The sequence below is a fragment of the Homo sapiens genome, chromosome 2 (genome assembly GCF_000001405.40).
Source record: "Homo sapiens chromosome 2, GRCh38.p14 Primary Assembly".
Lineage (NCBI taxonomy): Eukaryota > Metazoa > Chordata > Mammalia > Primates > Hominidae > Homo > Homo sapiens.
In genome coordinates, this window is record NC_000002.12 from 192,714,208 (window position 1) to 192,736,608 (window position 22,401).

The window sequence follows — 22,401 nt, forward strand, 5'->3', positions numbered from 1 at the left end:
GCCTTCATACTATTATTTTCTTAGTGATATTTCCTCTAACACGTGGAAATGTTGTATAAGATGAAGGAATAACTTTGCTTTGCCCATTTCTCAAGGATAAATGGAAGACAATGCTAACACATGGATTGGCATTTGAAATATAGGTCAATTACCGTAAAATTATTGTGTAATTTATAACATCCTTTCCAATAATGATCAAATAAGATAAAGCAGAATAATGATTAGGTAGGAATAAACTTAGTTTCAGTGTAGCCAAATGATTTTTTTTTTCTTTCAAAAATACATATGTGTTTTTTTTTCAAGAGCACTTGGGTTGACACCAGCCAAGTGTATTCTAGGTAAATTATTTTTTCTTGATTATATGGAAAATAAAAATATTTCATGAGGATGACCTACTTAATACCACTCTAGAACATGGGGTTAAAGTTATTTTTACATAGAGAGACTACAAAAGGTACTGGATCTGTAGTTAACCTGATCAATAGAAAGTTAATTCCTAGTATTTCCTGGTTCATTTTGTAAGTAGTTTTCACTACAGCTTCTAAAAGTATTTACTTACTTTGCTGTTCTATGTCAAAACCCAGTCTTTCTTCCTCATGAAATCTTAATAATAGAAGGAACTTTTCCATGAGACAGAGTTGGGCTTGACAAACAGCTCTGCATGACTAATTGTGAGAGCCTGGTAAATATCTTGTAAGTTTTATTTTGCTAGTTAGAATCTCAAAGTCATTGGCTAGCTAAATGTAGAATGAGAAATATATGTTAAGTGTTTAAGTTATGTCTTTCCTAGTAAGCACTTAATCAATGAAGGAGGCCACAGTTACTAGTACTGTGTCAGAATCAATTTCTTGGTTCACTATCAAGATAATCTGAATTTTTTTACATAGGTTCTTCTAAGGTGGTATTATCCTGAATTTCAACTCATGATCAATTTTTTGAGAAACCATTGATGTCACTTGCCTGCCATGCTTTGACAGTTTATTGAGTGTCTGCTATGTGCTAGATTGATTTAGATGAATTAATAAAGTATTATCCTCGTAAAACTGAAAAAAGACAGTTCCATTTGACAATATATTGTATTGTGTAATCAATAGTCTAAGATAAATTTGTGGAATTATAACATGGCAATCAGTAACTAATAATAGCCTCTCTGATACCTCCAGCCTTCCTTCCCATAACTCTTTTGTTTCTCTGGTGCCTGCAAACCTTTGACTCTCTATCTCTTTGGTTCGTTATTTCTAGTTCCAAATATAAAAGTCTCAGGGTCTACCACAAATTCCTAGTTATTAAATCCATCATAAAATAAGTATATTTCCATTTATCCTATTAATGCTCAGGGTATTTATACCTTATATAATTTTTATTTTAAAAAAGCAGTTTAGGCCGGGTGCAGTGATTATGCCTGTAATCCTTGCACTTTGGAAGGCCAAGGTGGGAGGATGGCTTGAGCCCAGGAGTTTGAGACCAACCAGGGCAACATAGTGAGACCCTGTCCTTACAGAAGTGCCTGCCACATAGTAAGCTCTCACACATGTTAGCTATTATTCAAATATGACTTATTTGTAGGTTGGCTGTTTTCATTACTATGAGAATATCAGGTACAATATAAAGTTAAAGATAAGATTATTAGTAAAACTGATAATTTTCTAAACAAAAGGCAAAAATCATGAAAAAATATTGGGTCAAATTAGAGCCTTTTAAACTGAGAAGATTCTGACAAGTACATGATGTACTGAACTTTTAGAGCAAGTTTTTCTAAGTAATAATGGTTTTCAACAAACTCTCCACTTATTGATTGTATCTATACAACTTTTGCAAGAAAAATGAAGTTAGATTTTTATGACTTCATTTTGAGGTTGGATAGAGAATGGGAAGGTAGAAAATGTAATGTGCTATTTGTGATATTTCACTAAAGAAGAATTATGGTTGACAGATGATGCTATGCCAAGGAACAAAAATGTAAGACAATTAAGGTAAATACATAAGTGTTATGTCTTAGCTGGAGGTTAAGTGGAGGTTAAGACTGGCTTAGAAAAGAATAGCTTTAGGTACAGTAGGAATTTGGGAACCAATCAAAAGTCATCATTTATGGCATTAGAAAATAAATAGCATGACAAATGAGTAAATCAAATAATAAAATACTAGAATATGGAAGAAAATATATATTTCTATATCTTCTAGTTTTATTCTTTTAAACTTAAATATATATTAAAAATTCCACACACAGTGGAGAAAAACAAAAACTAATGTATTCATTTGAACTAAAGATTTAGGGTGGCTATTTTATGTAGTTAAATCAAAATAAATCAATAAACCATTATTTTTATACAACCCCAACCCTCTTTGAATACCACTATTAATCTTGAATTAATTTTCTCTTACAATTGTTATAACAAGTAACAACATTATTGGTTTTTATATCCCAAATCCTATTTTTAAAAAATATAAAGGGCAATGAGAAATATATTCTCTACAAATCAATATTAAGGAAAGAGATTAAAGCCATATTTCATTTATACAACCAAATAACAAGATTGACTATTCCCTATGAGAGTGCAAACAAATCTTCTATAAAGAGTAACATAAAAATAGTAATTTTTGCTTCCTTGCATTCTATGGCCGTAACTCCTTTTATTATATGTTTAATCACTGGTTTTTATTACTAAAAATTTCATAGGCACACTGTAAAGTCCAAATGCAATAGGACTATTATCCTACAATGTATTCTGGACAATAAATGCATTTTCCTAAGACTTCACCGTTGCATAATATTCATCCTTCTCTCACCTCCTAAATATGCACTAGGTCCTATCTGCTCTAAACTTCTTTCTTTTGTGACTTCACCTTGACTTATTTCACTTTTTAGTTTTGTGCCAGTAGACCTCAATTACAGGCTCCAAGCCTTTATCTCCAGTCCAGTGAGAGAGCTAGAGGTTATTTCACTAGAAAATCTTATTGTAAGTTCATATTGCATCTGTTCAAAATGAAGCTTATATTCTTCCTTCTACTGTAACATTCACACTTAGTTGAGACCACATTCAAGTTAAACGCCTTACTATATACATAGTACATTGCATTTTTTGGTTGTTTCCTACTACTGTAGAAATATTTAAAGTACTTACTTTTGGAATATCAAGATTTTTTTTCAGCTTTAGAATCTTTTTTGGGGGGAGGGATTGAGGATAGAGTTTATGTCTTGCTTTTGATCATTTACTACTTTCCACTGCCTGATATTCATTTTCATCAGAAATGAGTCAATAGATGGTGTATTAGTCCGTTCTCATGCTGCTAATAAAGACATACCCGAGACTGGGTAATTTATAAATGAAAAAGGTTTAATAGACTCACAATTCCATACGGCTGAGGAGGCCTCACAATCATGGCAGGAGACAAAGAATGAACAAAGTGGTGACTGACGTGTTGGCAGGCAAGAGAGCTTGTGCAGGGGAACTCCCACTTATAAAACCATCAGATCTCCTGAGACTTATTCACTACCACGAGAACAGTATGGAGGAAACTGCCTTCATGATTCAATTATCTCCACCTGATCTTACCCTTGACATGTGGGGATTATTACAATTCAAGGTGAGATTTCGCGGGGCAGGGGGAGGGACACAGCCAAGTCATATCAGATGGGTGAGGTAGAATAAGAAATATTGGAGTACAATACTGGTAAGCAGTTCAGGCAGATGATGCTTAGACTGGAATTTTTAATTACAAGCGTTAGAAGAGGGCATGGTTATTTGGAAGACAGAAAAAGAGATTCACAGTACGGATACAAATTCACGGGAAGAAGAAAATGGAAGACAGTAAGAAATATTAAGGAAAGTTCTAAATGTGTTCTAAAAAGTAACACACATTAAAAATATTGGACCTGAAATTTAAACCTAGGTTTTCTTGACTTCTAAATCCTTACCTTATCTATTTTAAAGCATTACCTCTCATCAACACAAGTGTGTCCAATGAATTAGGTAACAAATTCCCATAAGTTAAGACAAATTTAAAATTAGAATTCTAAAGGAGTTACATATAACCTGAACTTTGTTTATGCTTAAAGCCTTATTGCCATATCGCCAAATACAATGAGTTCTGTCTGTTTCCTTGTCCATATTATGAGTAAAATAAAATATTCAAAAGTATCAAATTTTATGCGAGCAAACATAAATATTAAATATTACCATACCTTAATTTGCTAAATCATCCGAAGTTCTCACATGGTCTATTACCATTTTTTGTAGTTATTATTCCTTATCTACTATTTGTTGAAAACTACTTTCTACAAACAAGAAAAGACAGTTCTTATGACAAAGATCATGAATCATCAAATTTTAAAGTGTTGACTTTTATTGCCATAGGATCCTAAGGGATAAATTATTCAGTACTAGATAGTTGCTAGTTTTAAATCACTCTATTATCGTCTCCTTGTAAAGAGGATTGGACCAATCCATCTTTTCATCTCAAAAGAATTTTGTGACCCTTTTTACATAATGAAAGGCAAGGCAAATTAATTATATTGGCCTCTTTTTCATAGGTTCATATGCTTATTACAGTACTCTGGATCTTACTACTTCAACAGTGTTAAGGTTAAAAAGGCCAAAATATGTCTCTACTCCACCCCAATGCATGCACAAAGTTTCATCAAAAGGGAGGAAGGAATCTGTTTTTTATTTTACGTAGATCTTTTTGTAATTCTATTAATCTGTGCAAGGATGTGAGAGAGGGTTCTACTTGAGGGAGACAGTCTCCAGAACCATCCAATAGGTAGATTTCCAGGAAAAGGCAAAAAGAAGAGCTTCTGGGGAGCTCTCAGAGAAAATGTTCAAAGCAAACTAAGATAATTGAGCTGTTCTATTTATAATCCCCTTAACTTTGCCTCTAAAAGCTACCTCCTCCAGCATGGAAACCCACTTATGTATTTGGCATTGACCTTTATCAGCATTCCTGAAGTTTGGGAGTCCTATAAAATATGAATTTCAATGAAAGAAATTAAACTCGAGCTCCACACAAAGGATAGATCATGTAATAATTAACGCATATTGCTGGCAAAGTTATGGTTGAAAAAATAATTCTAGGTGACTAGATGTTATTTATCTCTTTCATATGCCTCTTCTTTTGATTATGTGAAGACTGTTTTATATACTTTAATAATATTAGCTGTTTTCGTACCATTTTCATGAAAAAGCTTTAATATTTGTAGGCATCCAGAAATAAATTTTGGCCTATTTAGATCCTTGGCAATTAAGTAAATTGTATGATAATTTTTTTCTTCTAGAATCTGAATTTCCTTTATGTTTCAATTTTTCTTCAAATTGTTTTCCTTTTAATATCATTAGACATTCACCAATAGTATTTGAATCAAATTAATATTCAGTACTTAGCCCTCAGTGAATACATACTTTTCATTTTCCAACCTTAACTCATATTACTAATATCAAAATATTCAGATGTTTCCCTGAATTCTCAATAATCACCTTATGTTTTAAATAATCTTCTGAGATTGGACACTGTATAATTTACTTTCCTAGAAAGAGGCATGGCAAATGAGAAATGAAACAAGACAGTAATTAAGACAGACTTTCATTTTACTGTCATTGGCAGTTAAATGTGACAGTTACAGTGAATACTTCATAACAAGCTGTTCCCTAGACAGTGAGATTGACATTTGTAAATAGCTTAAAGATAGTGAGTAGAGATTTTATGATTGGATGACTGATAAAATAGCAGTAAAACTTATTCTAATGATACCCTTATGCCCTCAATGTTATGCACTGTGGCACTACTTCTAATCCTGATTGTAAAAGGCCAGTGAAGTTCATGTCATACTGAAAATGATTCAATGATACAGCACCTGAGTATACATACTATAGTCTTCAGAACCGCTTTATCTGTTCTTATTGTCCTATAAGTATCTAAGAATAAAAGGAGGCTCAACTATTATAATTATTTGCCTAAGCCTATTCTTTCTTGGCCTGGGGATTATTAGACAGAAAGGAGGGCAGAAGTAGAAGAGAGAGGGCCAGAATTCATAATTATGCACAACAAGGAGAAGGAACAAAAATGCCAGATAATTTACCATAAGGGATAAAGTTATTTGAAGGGACTATTTAACTCATGAAATTGAAACGAGTTGCAGATTGATTCATTTAAAAAATACATATTGAGAGCCCACTGTGTGTCAGGTACTGTTTAGGTGCTGAAGGTACAGAGCTAGTTGAACAAACTCTGCCTTCATGGGGTCTATCATCTAGTGCAGGAAGACAAGCACAGGCTTTATTGTCTACCCTACATTGTTTTGTTATGAATTTTATTATTCATTGTTTTTGATTGAAAATCAGGTTTTTTTGTCTCTAATTCCAAAGATACTCTTGTTTAAAAAATTTGGAAAAGACAATTAAATATAAAAGAGGAAATTGAAAGTACCTATAAGGCATCACCTAGATTTAAATGCTATTAGTATCTCAATGTATTTTTTCAAATATTTGTGTAAGGAGGATATATTCAGTAGGTTAAAGTAAAATCAAATTCCATGTACAGTTGTTTTATGTTTTCCCTGTTTTTATTGAATATTATCTGATTCGTATTTTCTTATGTCACATACCTGCTAGAACCTAAAACTCTGTGAGGGCAAGTAAATTTGCTTATATTTTCATTGATGAACTCTTTGATCATCAATAGTATTGAGTACACATTGCACATTTAAAACATATTTGCCAAATAGGTAAAATACCTAAACTTTTTGAAAGCATAATTTTAATGACCATTGTTAAAGATGATATCAAGTTTTTACTCTCCAACAAAATTTATTCTCTTGAAAAAAAGGAAGATTTTCATACAAAAAAAATCTTTTAAGGAGTATTCTGAAATAATCTAGCCCCTTCAAACTCAATGCAAGATAAGCTTATCATTTTTAGGGGGTAATCGAAATTTCCAATTCTCTGACCATTATTGTTTCTCTTGGTGACAGTATTTCTCTAACAGGTAATAATATTTCTTAACAATTATAATTAATTTTGGGGATAGAAATCAAACCAGTTTGTAGTGTATAATTAGGTTAGTATTAAAAAAGTCACCTCCAGTTCTACTCCTTAATTCCTAGACTCATGAAATCACATGATATGAGAAATGACAGTTATATAGTTTAGATTTATGTCCACACCAAAATCCCATGTTGAAATGTAATCACCCATGTTGGAGATGGGGCATGCCAGGAATTGGATCCTGGGGACGGATTTCTCATGAATGCTTAAGTACCATCCTCTTGGTGCTGCCCTCATTATGGTGCGTGATTTCTTATGAGATCTGGTCATTTGAAAGGGTGTGACACATCCCCCTCACCCTCTTGCTCCTGCTCCCACCATGTGACATGCCTGCCGCCACTTCACCTTCCACCATGATTGTAAGCTTCTTAAGATCTCCCCAGAAGCTGTCAGAGCTATGCTTCCTACAAAGACTGCAAAATCATGGGCCAATTAAACTGTTTTTCTTATAAATTACCCAGTCTCATGTATTTCTTTATAGCAATGTGAGAATGGCCTAATACAGGCACCATATGTTATTTGCTGATTAGGAACATTACAAGCAATTTGGAGTTCCCCAGTAACTCAAAGATTTCATTTCCTAGATCTTCAGTTGATAATTCTATGATTCTCCAAGAACAACTGTTTTCTAAATCATATAATATATATTATATATGAATATGTTAATTTGAATAAATGGAAGATGCTGTAGATTTAAGCATGGTGGGTAAGAGAAAAATCCAGACAATGACAAATTACTATCTGCTCCATAATACACGTTGTTTACTGGAACCAACCAGTCTTTGTTAGCTTTGGTAATAAGAATTCTGTAACTGCATTGACATTTTCTTAGCTTTTATCTTGCCATCAAGGCCACATTGAGGCTTTTTAGGAAACACTGAACTGTCTGGTGAAGGAGGCTGACTCTTTCTGTAAAGCAGGTTTTCTTGACTATTTCATGAAAACCTCCTTAGATAATTTGCCCATTCAAAGAAGTCTATTCATGAATTCTGTTCTTGTTTTTCCCTAAATCCCCGACCACCCCAAACTATTAATCTGTCTTTGAGAATCAGTGTAGTATCAGCTGGTCTCTCTTTCCAGACTAAATTAATAAAGTGTTCTGCTCTGAGTTCTACACATGAAGGATTTCCATCTTCTGCTTCCATTCAGGATCAAACCTAAGAGAGCCTGTGATGCTGAAATATTTCATGAAGACTTTCCCGTATGACACAATAGCATTGAAATCAGGCCTGTGTTTTTCATCTTGTGTCAAATAATAATAGGAAACTCTTTTCAAGGCTACAGTAAGAGTTGAAACAAGATTAGCAATTTGGCAAAAGATGGCACATGGCTAGGGTGAAAAACTGGTTCATGCAACACAACTGTGCATTCCAGACCTAATCGGGCCACAAACGAAATTTAATATTATACTAGAGGTTGGGCTTTTGAGAATGTACAATGATACGATGAAGTGGATGAGACAGACCAGTAATGGAGGTGAAACGCAGGTTGTGTGGTTATTTGAGTTTCTACTGATAGTCATGTTATCTTCACTAGAGCCTAGCAGCAAAGTGATACCAACTTCTTAAAGGAAGAATAGTTATTTACTGGACTTAGATGTCTTTTAGCTTTGCATCAAAATCCAGAGACCTCTCATCCTAGTCTCCTGTTGAAATTTGCCTTTATAAAGTCCTCATATCTGCTGCAGAAATTTTAAATTCCATTGGTTTCTCCTGGTCATAATAGCCACTGTCAGAGACACTTAAACCATGAACTGTACCAGCTGAAGACTCTTCTATTTTGTGTCCCATGAAAATATAGCTGCTATTAGAGTTACCTTGGAAAATCATGGATGAGAATATCTAAGTGTATAAAGTGTGACTCCCGAATTTGAAGCAGCCTGCCAAATAATTTTCCTTCTTAATGGCGGGGGATGCAGGCGATAGAAAAGCGTCTATTATTACCAAGTCATATTTTTCCTCCTGGAATGCTGTACACCTCAATGAATTTTATTTCGTACCATTCTCTCATACATCTCTCTTTTTAAGTCATGTAAAGGTAAATGTTGCTTTCTTCTCTCCAGGTGTTCTCAGCAAAATGTTGTCAATACAAGCATACCTTGGAGATATTTCAGGTTTGGTTTCAGACTACCATAATAAAGCAAATATTGCCATAAAGTGAGATACACAAAATTTTTGGTTTCTCACTGCATATAAAAATTATGTTTACACTATACTGTAGTTTATAAAGTGTGTAGTAGCATTATGCCTAAAAATGTACACACCTTAATTTAAAATACTTTATTGCTAAAAAATGCTAATGATCATTTGAGCCATCACTGTGTCATAATTGTTTTGCTGGTGGAGGGTCTTACCTTCATGTTGATGACTGCTGACTGATAAGAGTGGTGGTTGCTGAAGGTTGGAGTAATTGTGGCAATTTCTTAAAATAAGACAACAGAAGATTGCCACATTAATTGCCTCTTCATTTCACAAATAATTTCTCTGTAGCATATGAAACTGTTTGATAGCATTTTACCCACAGTACAACTTCTTTCAAAACTGGGAGTCAATCTTCTTAAACCCTGGTGATGTTTTATCAACTAGGTTTATTCTAAATCCTTTGTTGTCATTTTAACAATGTTCACGGCATCTTCACAAGGAGTAAATTCCATCTCAAGAAACCACTTTGCTCATCTATAAGAAGCAATTCCTCACCCACCAAAGTTTTATTATGTGTCTTAGTCTGTTTTCTGTTGCTTATAACAGAATACCTGAAACTGGGAAATTTATAAAGAAAAGTAATTTATTTCTTACAGTTACGGAGAACGAGAAGTACAAGTTTAAGAGGCCACCTCTCGGGAGGGCCTTCTTCCTGGTGGGGACTCTGCAGAGTCCTGAGGTAGCACAGAACATCACATGGTAGGGGGGATGACAGTGCTAGCTTAGGTCTGTCTTCCTCTTTTTATAAAGCCACCAGTTCTATACCCATTAATCCATTAAATCACAGATACATTAATTCATTCATGACAGCAGAGCCCTCATAACCCAATCACCTTGGAAAGGTGCCACATCTGGGAATAAATTTCAACATGAGATTAGTAGAGGACAAATATTCCAGTCATAGTATGTGGCTCCAGACCCCCGTAATTCATGCCTTTTCACATACAAATACACTCATTTCAACTCCAATGGCCCCAGAGGTTTAACTCATTACAGCACCAACTCAAAAGTCCGAAGTTCAAAGTCTCATCTGTGTGCCTGTGAAATCAAAACAAGTTATATACTTTCAAGACACAGTGGTGGTTCAGGCATGTGACAGACATTTCCATTCTAAAAGGAAGGAATAGCCAAAAATATATTCTTAAGAGCCACAGGATGTTCAGAGTGGTAAATGAGCATTGGCTTCAACTTAGTCTCCAACTGCAATAGCCCCTAGCAAGAGAGTCTGCGTGTCCTTGGAAGCTTTGAAACCAGACATTGACTTCTCTTTTCTAGCAGTGAAAGTCCTAGGTGGGCCGGGCACAGTGGCTCACGCCTGTAATCCCAGCATTTTGGGAGGCTGAGGCGGGGTGGATCACCTGAGGTCAGGAGTTCAAGATCAGCCAGTCCAACATGGCAAAATCCCATCTCTATTAAAAATACGAAAATTAACTAGGTGTGGTGGCCGACACCTTTAATTCCAGCCACTTGGGAGGCTGAGACAGGAGAATCGCTTGAACCTGGGAAGCAGAGGTTGCAGTGAGCAGCGATTGGGAGGCTGAGACAGGAGAATCGCTTGAACCTGGGAAGCAGAGGTTGCAGTGAGCAGAGATTGGGAGGCTGAGACAGGAGAATCGCTTGAACCTCGGAGGCGGAGGTTGCAGTGAGCAGAGATAGTGCCACTGCACTCCAGTCTGGGCAACAGAGACTCTGTACCCCCCCCCCCCAAAAAAAAAAAAGTCCTAGGTAACATCTATTTCCAACAGAAGGCTGTTTCACCTACACTGAAAATCTGTTGTTTAATGTAGCCACCTTCATTATCTTAGCGAGGTCTTCTAGATAATGTTCTTCAGCTTCTATGTCAGCACTTGCTACTTCACCTTGCACTTTTATGTTATAGAGATGGCTTCTTTCCTTTAACTTCGTGAACTAACCTCTGCTAGTCTCAAATTTTTCTTCTGCAGCTTCCCCAATTCTCTCAGCATTCACAGGACTGAAGAGAGTTAGGGCCTTGCTTGGATTAGGCTTTGGCTTAAGGGAATGTTGCTGCTGGATTGATCTTTTATCCAGACCACTAAAACTTTCTCCGTATCAGCGAAAAGACTATTTTGCTTTCTTATCATTCAGGTGTTCACTGCAGTAGCACTTTTAATTTTCTTCAAGAACTTGTCCTTTGTATTCAGAACTTGACTAACTGTGAAGCAACCAGCCTAACTCTTGGCCTATCTTGGCTTTTGACATGCATTCCTCACTAAGCTTAATCATTTCTAGCTTTTGAGAAAGTGAGAATCAACTTGTGACTCTTCCTCCAACTTGAATGTGTAGAGGCCCCTGTAGGTTATTAGTTGTCCTAATCTCAATATTGACATGTCTTAGGAAATAGGGAGAAATGAGAAAAAGAGACAGGAAACAGGCCTTTTGGTGAAGCAGTCACAACACACACATTTATTGATTATGTTTACAGCTTTATATGGGCGTGGTTTGTGGTGCTTCAAAACAATTACAGTAGTAGCATCAAAGATCATTGATCATAGATCACAATAGCAAACATAATAAAAATGAAAATGTCTGAAATACTGCTAGAATTACCAAAATGTAACACAGATATGCAAATTAAGCACATTCTGTTGGAAAAAATTATGCCAATAGATTTGCTCAAATCTTTATTTTGTAAAAAACACAGTATCTGCAAAGCACAAAAAAAGAAAGTGCAATACAATAAAGTCTGCCTGTGTAGTCGCCTAGTATGATGTCCTTTGAGGCAATCAAAGTTGCTGTGGCATGGAGTCAGAGTTGAGATATTCCAAAACAGATGGCAAGAATTTGTTTTTTTCACCAGGCAAAAGGAACTACTTCTGCTAGTCCTTGTATATCAGATGCTAGAAAAATGCATTTGAAAGGTAAAATGCATTGCAGATATTATTTATTGTAAACTTTTTTACAGCAAGGACACTAAAACTGCCACAGAAAGTTCCTATCAGAGTCTCTACTTGATTAAATTTAAATCAACACTTGTAATCTAGAAGTCTTATAATTGTTAAGTTGGAAAATGGAACCGAAATTTAATGAAATATATCATACAGAAGTATGCTAAGTTTTTGATGCTAGCATTAATCTCTGTAGTTTCTCCAAGAAGGTAGTGCATTTCATTTTCCAATTTGGTAGTAATTAAGATTTACAGCATTTCTAACTTACTGTAATCACCCCAGTTCCTTAAATATGGAATGAAATAGGATTAAAGAAGGAAAGTATTCCTGGAAACTCAGGGGAAATAATGAACATTTTGTCTCTGTTTCTAGTGTGAAATAATTCACCTCCGACAAACTCTTCTCACTCTGAGCATGTCCTTTTCAATTTTCAAATTCCCAAAAGAAGATAATCGCATTGATCCAGGTTTGGTCAGTTTTCTCTGCTTGGATCGATTAGCCACAGCTGAGGGGCAAGAGGAATAGGAATGACAAATATCAGATAAGGGTCACTTTGAGTCCTCAGCCAACCAAATTTAAATTTAAAATTGTAGTTAACTCACTACACTAAAGAAAATGAAGGCTTTCAGCCTCTAGGTGAATTTTAGCTAAGAAAGTTAAAGCTCTTTCTGAAACAGAGCATTGCATTTTATATGAATGGAAAAGTAGTACACAAAAAAAACACAATTATCCTCTCTATTAAAATTCACCAGATTTTAGACACCATGGCAAAGTTTTTGAAAATTTGTACTCCAGACTTAGGTCACTTTTTTGATCTGGTTCCTAAACCTACCAGCGCTCTTCCCTTTCCCTACGTGACATCACTTAGCCTTCTGTACACCAGTTTCTCAACTAAAAATAAAAATAATAATAGCATCCACCTCCCAAAGTTGTTTGAAGAATAAAATAGGTTAATTTTGGAGTGTGTTTATGTATTTTGACTGACTCATAGTAAGCACTATATAAATGTTTATTCAGTAGATACATGAAGCCACACTTACTATAAGAAAAATGAAATATTCAGCTAAATGACTTGAAAGGAGTCATGTAAGATCTCCATTCACCAAAACCATGTGTGCATATAGAGACATTCTTTTAATGCCCTAACACTTTAGAGTATGGATCAAAAAAATGAAAAACTACAATCAAAAGAAAATATGAAAACAGTTGAATAAATTGCTAAATGGCAAGATAGGCTCCTTTAAGCAAAGACTATTGTATGTTTAATTAATTGACATGCAAAAATAATAACTGAGGAAGGATTTAGGGGGTCTTAAATAAATGACAGGTATTTTGCTAAGGAGACTGCACAACTTACCTTGTCCCCCAATCTCTCTTCACAATCTTTCCACTTGTAAAGAGCACATGTATTTTTCTGCTCTGTGCCATGCAGGAACAAGTGCCTCTGATCTTTCATAGGTGGGGAAATATATCTGATCCATCTTGTCTATATTTACATTGATTCTGACATCAAGCTGGGGAAAGGTGTGTTGTTTATTTCTCACACATAAAAACAAGAGGGAAAAGATCTTTCCTCCTCCCCGACAAGATAAATGCCCAAACAAAATCACTCTGCCCATGCTCATGCAATCCCAGGTTTACTGCTGAGACGCTGCCTTCAGCAAGGATGCAGCAATGCTGCTAAAGAAGAGTAGAAACATGGCAGCGGTGGTGACCATCCAGTATGGGGCGTGTCTGAAAGCTGGTAAAAGTGTCTGCTGCTTGCAGTGATGCAGTTTTGAGGGTGGTCTGCCACCTAGCCCATCTGGGTTCATGTCCTTCTGGATTTGACTGCTCAGCTTTGACATGTTCTCATTCTTTTGTTTTCAGTCTCTCCTTGCAATGATGTTGAGTTTTAAATCACTTTCTGCTCACACAATAAGGCTAAACCCAAGTGGTTTATGAAGAAAATAGGGTAATTTCAAAGAATGTAACTATAGTGTATGGTAGGCGGTATAATAGAGGATATTCACCAGTTGGTAATTATTTGTGAAATTTCAATTAAAGCAGTTAATCACAGAGAACAAAATAAATTTAGAAATTAGTGGGAATTTTGACCTAATTATCTCTACACTGAAATTAATCTCAAGAAAGCAATAAAACTAGATAAGTAAATTCAAAAAAAGTACCCTTTAACCAAATTTACTTCTATATATTTTAATGAATTTAGTCATAGAAGTTGGTGACAATTGCTATAATTGTACCTACAGGCCCTTTATTTATAACAATTTAACTGGGAAAAACATAAAAGGAAATATATCAGGAAAGTATAATTTTACATTGTTTAACTTAATACACAGTTAGCGTTTTGACAATTGAGAAGAATATTATTTAGTGTCAGAATGATATGACTCTGTTCAATGTCACCTTCAGTATTTGTGAATAAATACCCTATGATATATCTAGAACTTGTTATTTTCACTTATTTTCCACATTTGTACCTTATTAGATTTCTATCACCCTCAACTAATGCAACAGAATATCAGAAAGAGGCATTTCCAAACTCACAATACATTTTTCAAAAGAAATTGAAATGGTCGCTTGTTTAATTCATAAGTATGAAACATGAGGTGAAGTTTCAAAGGCAGTGGTAAACTTAAAGCAAGGAAAATATGAGGAATCCTCCAAGTTTTGACTCTGAAAATGTTTAAGTAATGCAAAATATTAAATGATTCACAAACAGTACCTTAACTTTCTTGTACTACTCATCAGTAGTGCTATTTAGGGCATGCTGTATTTATAAAAAAAACATCTATACTGAAGTTTAGCATTTCACTAGTTTTCTATCCAATGACTATATACTGAATTTAAACTAAAGATAAAGTATTTTAAACATTGGATAACAAAGAAATGACCATTTATTAATACAGATAAAACACGTAATTGTAGTATGTACAAAACTTCCATATGTAAGAAAACTCAAAATTGTAATCAGAGATAAGACAAATAGCGTATCCAGAACCTCTCTCTCTCCCCCAAAAGAATGGAAGGAAGGAAAGAAGGAAGGGAGGAAGGAAGGAAGGAAGGAAGGAAGGAAGGAAGGAAGGCAGGCAGGCAGGAAGGAAAGAAGGAAAGAAGGAAAGAAGGAAAGAAGGAAGGAAGGGCAAAAAGCTTAGACAGTTTCTGACAATATTCACTTCAGTCTGAGAGAACAAATAACCCCCTCTCCCCAGTGTACCCATTTAGAGATACAGATGGCAAGTAATACTCCAGATATGCTTTCCTCTTGGTTTTGCCTTCTGCAATCAATCTGATCAGTGCTGACGGGTACATTGGAGCAGGTTGTACTCCAAACAAAGGTGCCTAATTAGCTTGGCGGAATAATTGAAATCCACACTGTGTTCTACTTGCCAAGTCAGGAACCCTAAATGTGGGCTGTGTTAGTGTGGAGAGGTGGGCTTTCTAGAATCATACCTTTCTAGAATAACACCAGAGCAGTGGTGCTCCTGCGCTTTTCCACAGGCACACTGACTAGCAGTTTTGATATTGTCCATTGGATTATTATAAAGGAAATAATAAATGTGTAGCTCAATCATTTATCCCAGGCTAATTCATTAGTTAGGAACGTACTTTTTGAGCAATTGAGTCACAAATAAGTAGAAGTTCTGCTGTGCATAGGCAAGCAGAAAATATGGGTACTTTGACGGGTTCAATTTTTCATTCCTCTACCTCCAGAAATTCATGCTAATGTTCTGGGGTAATATCTAATAAGACTACAGTAAGCACACTGCTTGGTACAATTTTGTGCTGTGGACCTCAAACCTGACTTAGCCATATCAAGTCCCCTCCCTTAAGTTTCATATCGTCCTCTGTACAATACCATTAGTCCTCACAGCCATATGGGAAAAGAGAGAAGCATGATCCTTTGTTCTGAACACCTTCTAATCCTGTCTTATAACAGCTGCTCCTATAAATCACTAACCAAAGCGCCTTTCATGGAGCATTTGGTCTTTTCTTCCCACAAGTGGAACTTCTCGTTACCCTTCTTGCCTCCCCCAAAATACCTGCAGAGTGAATGCCCCCTGGTCCAAGATCAGCTTCTCAGGAAGGCCTTTCCTGAACATCCTTTCTAAAATTCCATTGCCTCAAAAACTCCCTATCCCACCCCGCTGCTTATTTTTCTCCTTATCACTTATCTTCTAAGGTACAAAATCATGTATTTGTTTATCTTTTTTATTGTCTCTGTCTCCCACTAGACTTGCTTACTACTGAAGCCTGAGGCATGGAAAAGTGCCTGGTATGAGAGGCACTCCAAGTATTTGTTAAATAAGTAAATAAATAAATAAATAAATTGTGAACTCTAACATTTGATGATCCTCAGAATTCACTCACACGCATTAAAAGAAACTGAGTTTTCCTAGATAATTTAGGCTGCATACTAAAATACTACTTCTTTTTACAGCTTTGTTTAAATTAGCATTATTAATAAGTAGAAGCATGAAGGCATATTTAACAAAAGTATTTCAATTACCCAGGAAGAAAAGGAAAACACAGCTGGACATACAGAACTAGCCTACCTTTAGAGCTAGCAAATGATAGTGTGTAGTATGGCTTGCTTGTTTTCAGGCCTTAGTATGGCTTGCCTGTTTTCAGGCCTTATCATTAAAAAAAAAAAAAAAAGTATCCCCATGTGTCAGGACAGGTGTGGTGCCTCATGCTGCTAATCCCAGCACTTTGGGAGGCCACAAAGGGAAGATCTTTTGAGGCCAGGAGTTCAAGACCAGCCTGGGTAACATACATCCTGTCTCAACCAAAAAATTAACAATTAGCCAGACATGGTGTCATGTGCTTATAGTTCCACCTACTCAAGAGGCTGAGATGGGAGGATTGCTTGAGCCCAAAAGTTTGAGGTTATGGTGAGCTATAATTGCACCACTGCACTCCAGCCTAGGTGGCAGAGCAAGACCATATCTCAATCAATCAATTGTGTGTATCATAAATTTTAAGTTAGCACTGATAATATTAGTGCTGTTGATACTAGAATTATTTTTTCTCGATCAATTATTTTATGAATTCTATTAGACCAACTTTTAGATATGCTTCATTATGATGTGGAAAAATTTGTTTATAAATCCCTCTACCCTGTTAAATTGAGTGCTTTGAGGTAAGTGTTAATGGTGTATACTCACCTGCCTACTAGCTCTATACCCTTTAGCAAGGCTCTATGTTTGTTAGAGTGTAATATGATGAGCATATTTTTAGTAAGAAAGAAGTATGCATATGTATCTCTAAGTTCTTCTTACCTACATACTCTATGTGTCTATCTATCTGTCTATCCATCTATCTATCTATTCATCTATAGCTGTAATTTTATCTATCTATAGATAGCTTTTTTTATATTAACATAAAAAAGTGAAAAAATATGTCCCCATTGCCCACTTTAGGACGCGTAAATATAGAAGGAGTGATTATTAACTTTATATGCCTCAAAATTGCTTGACATACTTCTGATGACATTATTTTTACTGAAAAATTATGTCTCCTGAGTTGAGAGATTAGAAGCATCTTTTTAACTGATTACTGCTTAGATAAATTTAGGCTAGAGTTTACAATTTTCACAGAGGAGAGGAAGCAGTTCTGTGTTAATCTTTTCAGAACACAGAAATCTTTGAAGATTCAGCCAATATTTTAACCACTAACATGCCAAACATTATCGGAAGTATAATAAGGCTAGAAACTTTGGATGCTCTTCCAGCCAAGAGTCTATTATGTCTATATCTTGCAATAGTTGTTATTTGTATATTCATAGACTTCTATAACTACATATATATATCTATATTTATCTGTCACAAAAATGCCTTTATTAATGATTGTTAGTATCTTTCAAGGTAGAAATAGCCAAATGACCAGAAACTAAAACATATTTTTTTTCTCTAATACACTCCATGACCCTTGAAAGGCTGTTACTCAAGCAATGTGCTAACATCAACTCTAGACCATGGCACTGACCTTACAAATCTTTAGCTGAAAAACATTTATATCTCTCATTTGAGAGTGCTAGGATGTAAGGTCTGCTATTATTTTTATCTAGTCATATATAGCCTGTCACATCATCATTGCATTTTGGGCCTTCTTAATGCGTATATTCATTTGCAACTAAAAAGTTTAGAAGAAAAGGCTAGCAATTCTCTTCTACCTCAAAGAATGAAAATCTAGGAAGTTTAACAAACTGATGCTATCATCCCTGTGTTCCTGGGGGCAATTGCAGCTCACACATGTAATTGTGTAGGATAGGCAATGAGAGCTAGCTACTAGAAATTGAGGTTCTGTTTTGTGATTTTTCTAGTTGAAATCATATGATCTTTAAGAATGGGCAAGTTTGAAAAAAATGGCCCATATATTCCTGGTGAAATTAATCAATACCTAATTATTTAGAAGCTGTAAATGCTATCTTTGGCTGACATGCTGACAAAATGTGTTTTCTTCTGTCAATAAAGGCCAAAGAATCAGAAATCTACCATAAAGAAGGTTATTACAGGGCACAAAAGTCTTAGCCTCATTCTCGGATTTAGCTATTTCATCAATTTAATAGTATTCCTGTCCCTTTAATAAGAAAAAAAAAAGAGCTTGACCCTTACAAATATAACTGGAAAATAGTGATACCTGAAACCACAGAAAATACAATACTCTAAAAATAACTTCAGTATTCAGTACATTAGCAAATCCTGAGATATGGAAAAAATAAATATCACCTATTACCCCTAAGAATATATTTAAAATGTCATGCATTGGTCTGCTTTGATATTTAAGTGTTTGTTTTTAATCTGAGAATCAGCTTTCATTGCTTATGGTGGATACTGATGAATCTCCTTCACACCCGAAGTGTAGTTCTTCAGTTGGCTGCTTGATGGCTCAGAGCTGAATCTTTCAGACTAAGAAAACCATCTCACTCAATGCTAAATTCTCTCTCTAAGAATAGTTCCTCCAATGGCTGTTCGCTACAAGGATATATAGGTTTTTCCCATCCCCTTTGCCTCACGGACAACGCTGAAGGGCCATTTGGGTTCCAGAACTCCCTGTGGAATCACCTGCTGTGGAATCCTTTGTTGTGAGTGCATCAGAGATTCACAGATGAACTCCTCCCTCTACCGAATCCTATTGTCTTTATTTCTCTTTATTTTATTATTATTATTTTTTGAGACAGAGTCTCGCTCTGTCGCCCAGACTGGAGTGCGATGGCGCGATCTTGTCTCACCGCAACCTCCGCTTCCTGGGTTCAAGCGATTCTCCTGCCTCAGCCTCCCGAGTAGCTGGGATTACAGGTGCCCGGCACCACGCCCGGCTAATTTTTGTATTTATTTCTCTTTAAGTTTTAATTTTAGGGTTCTTACCAATTAACCTCTTGCATGAAAATCTTTTATTCAGAGTTTTTCTACGACATCAGATCTAAGATACTGACGAAGCAAAAACCATGTACTTAGATTTTAAATTATATCCTACAGTTTTTTTTGATAAAATTACAGCACTGAGTAGCACTCTTCCTCATACCTACGTTCCTCACCATTTTCTTTTGTTATGCCTTAAACCATACACACTTTTATACTTAAATGTAAACTTAGACACTTTGCCTTAAATTTAGATTTCTTCATAATAGTGAAGAACAAACTATTAATAATTAGCCTGTCATAAATGTTTACTGCTTCTAAGGTCACTGAGTTTGTATTTTTTACCATAACTAGGAATTAATCTTTAGAGGCTTAGTTGAATTCAAGTTCTACTTGGAAAGAATCTCCGGTAAATATAGGCTCACATTTTATCTATATAGTGACCAACTGTCCAACTATCTTTCTATTTTTATACATCTGAGCATTAAATAAATATTTGTGTTGAGTTGCTTTTATAATAAAACTGTTGTGAAGACACCATTATACCATATATTACTTCAAATCTTTTCTTTCTTATATCTTTTATAATACTTTTCAGACTCCACTAGTTTTTATACTCCAAACAAACAAAATTACATTTATACCACTAGAGATTATATGGAAGCTTGCAAGTACAATTAAACATTGTTTACATATCTCACAGTAAAACTAGTTCATTAAACTCCTAAATTATAAACGTCATCAGCCTATGAATAACCAGATAAAAGAATATAATTCTAACATCATCTTTAAAACATTTTTCATGGCAAACAGAATACACAAGCTGAAAAAATGCATAAAACATAAACACATTGTAACAAACAGCTATAAAGAAAATACCTGGCCGGGCGTGGTGGCTCACGCCTGTAATCCCAACACTTTGGGAGGCCAAGGAGGGCGGATCACGAGGCCAGGAGTTCGAGACCAGCCTGGCCAATATGGTGAAACCCCATCTCTACTAAAAATACAAAAAAAAAAACAAAAAAAAAAAAACAGCTGAGCGTGGTGGCGCGTGTCTAGTTCCAGCTACCGGGAAGCCTGAGGCAGAAGAATCACTTGAACACGGGAGGTGGAGGTCGCAGGTCGCAGTGAGCCGTGATTGCACGACTGCACTCCAGCCTGGGTGACAGAGTGAGACTCCATCTCAAAAAAAAAAAAAAAAAAAAAAAGAAAAGAAAAAGAAAATACCTGCCTAAGCTACATGTCAAGAAGTAGAACAATCTGAGAGTCTCAGAAGCACCTGTTTGTGTCCCTATCTGATTTTGCAACCCTCCCTTCATCCTAAAAGAGACCAGTATCATTTCTTTCCTATTTAATTTTACTTCTACAAAGATGATTGGTTAATAATGTCTTATATACCTCCCAAACCACCATGTTGTTTAATTTAATTACCTTGAAGATTCTGATTTTTTAAAATTCAACTGTCATTGGACATTGGCATTTTGATGACCTCCTGAAACTAAAACTCAGTATGGTCCAACATAAGCTTTTACATTCTACCCAGTAAAGACCACCCTCTTATATTTTATTGATATATCTTTTCTTTTCATTGATAGCATCAACTCCCCCATTTCAAATTCTGAAGCCTGAATTTCTCCCTCTCCCTGATATACCTCTGTATAAGTTAAAGTTAAATCCTATTCTGTTTTCTTCTAAAATAATTTTAATAGTCTGTCTTTTTTTTTATGTATAGGACTACCTGATAAAGGACTTCCTTATGTCTACTGGACTGTTGCATTTGCCACTCACTTCTTCTCCCTGCTCTAACCTGAGCACTTTAGTCTCTTCCGTTCCTGGACTTAACAGACATTCTATGAATCACAATTCTAATAACGTTTCTCTCTTTAAATCTTTACTGCCTCCCTTTCACTTGATAATGTCCCAGACTTTCATTTGTCATACAAATGAACTCATGGGCTTGCCCAGTCTGGCCTCTCTCTCATTTCCTGACATTCCCTCCCCACGACTTTACACTATAACATTACCAATGGTATTACACTGTATTTCTTTGGGCAAACCATAGTGTTTGCTGACAACACTTACCTTTTCTCTTCACTCTCCCACACTCCCTTCCCACACATAGTCACATTTCTAGAAACTTTATTATTCACCAGGAAAGACTATCTCCCCATGGGACAGCCTTCATCCTGGAAGACTCCCCTCCATGCTATCTTTGTATCTTGGATACAAACTTCTATTTTTGCACGTATCACAATGTCATAACATATTCTAATGCATTTCAGTGACATGTTTCTCACTCCTAACAGCTGTGAACTTGAAATTAGGAGAAAATATTATGTATCTCTATATTTTCAGAGGTAACCATAATTCCTGGTGCACAGAAGATGCTCTTTCAATTCTTGTTCAATTGAATCTGTTCTTAAACTCTGTTTTCATGTCTTATTAATTCACATTTTATAATGACAGCACATGCGTATTTTCCTGAGCTTCATTTCTGCATTCTTTCATTGTTTTATTGAAAATCCTAAAGGGGGCCCTTATAAGGTTGCAAGTGCTCAGGATTATCAGCTCAAACAACTACTAAATGACCTATAGTCAAACCATGTACTTTTATATGACTAGAAGGATTTAGGCCTATATTTATAAACACACTTTATTTTCATATTGTCTATTTTATGTAAGCCATTATGGAAACAACTTTTATCAGCTTTAAAATGTGCCTGGAGAATATAAACCACAGGTTTTATCTAAGAGGTAAATATATATGGTCTATACAGATCATTAACATTTGCAAAATTGAGACAGTAAAGTCACATTTCCTTTGAACTTTCTCTGTTTTTGTCTAATTTATTTCCACAAATTACTCTTAGAAATGAGCTGTTTTAAACAGAAA

At 35.4% G+C, this 22,401-nt stretch overlaps 1 annotated feature.

Moving 5' to 3' along the window:
• Window positions 21,109-21,700: an enhancer, noted in NCBI's record as "NANOG hESC enhancer chr2:193600042-193600633 (GRCh37/hg19 assembly coordinates)". NCBI's record gives its function as "activates a minimal SCP1, AML or CMV promoter by ChIP-STARR-seq in naive H9 embryonic stem cells {active_cell/tissue: H9 hESC(naive)}" and the evidence as "EXISTENCE:reporter gene assay evidence [ECO:0000049][PMID:30033119]".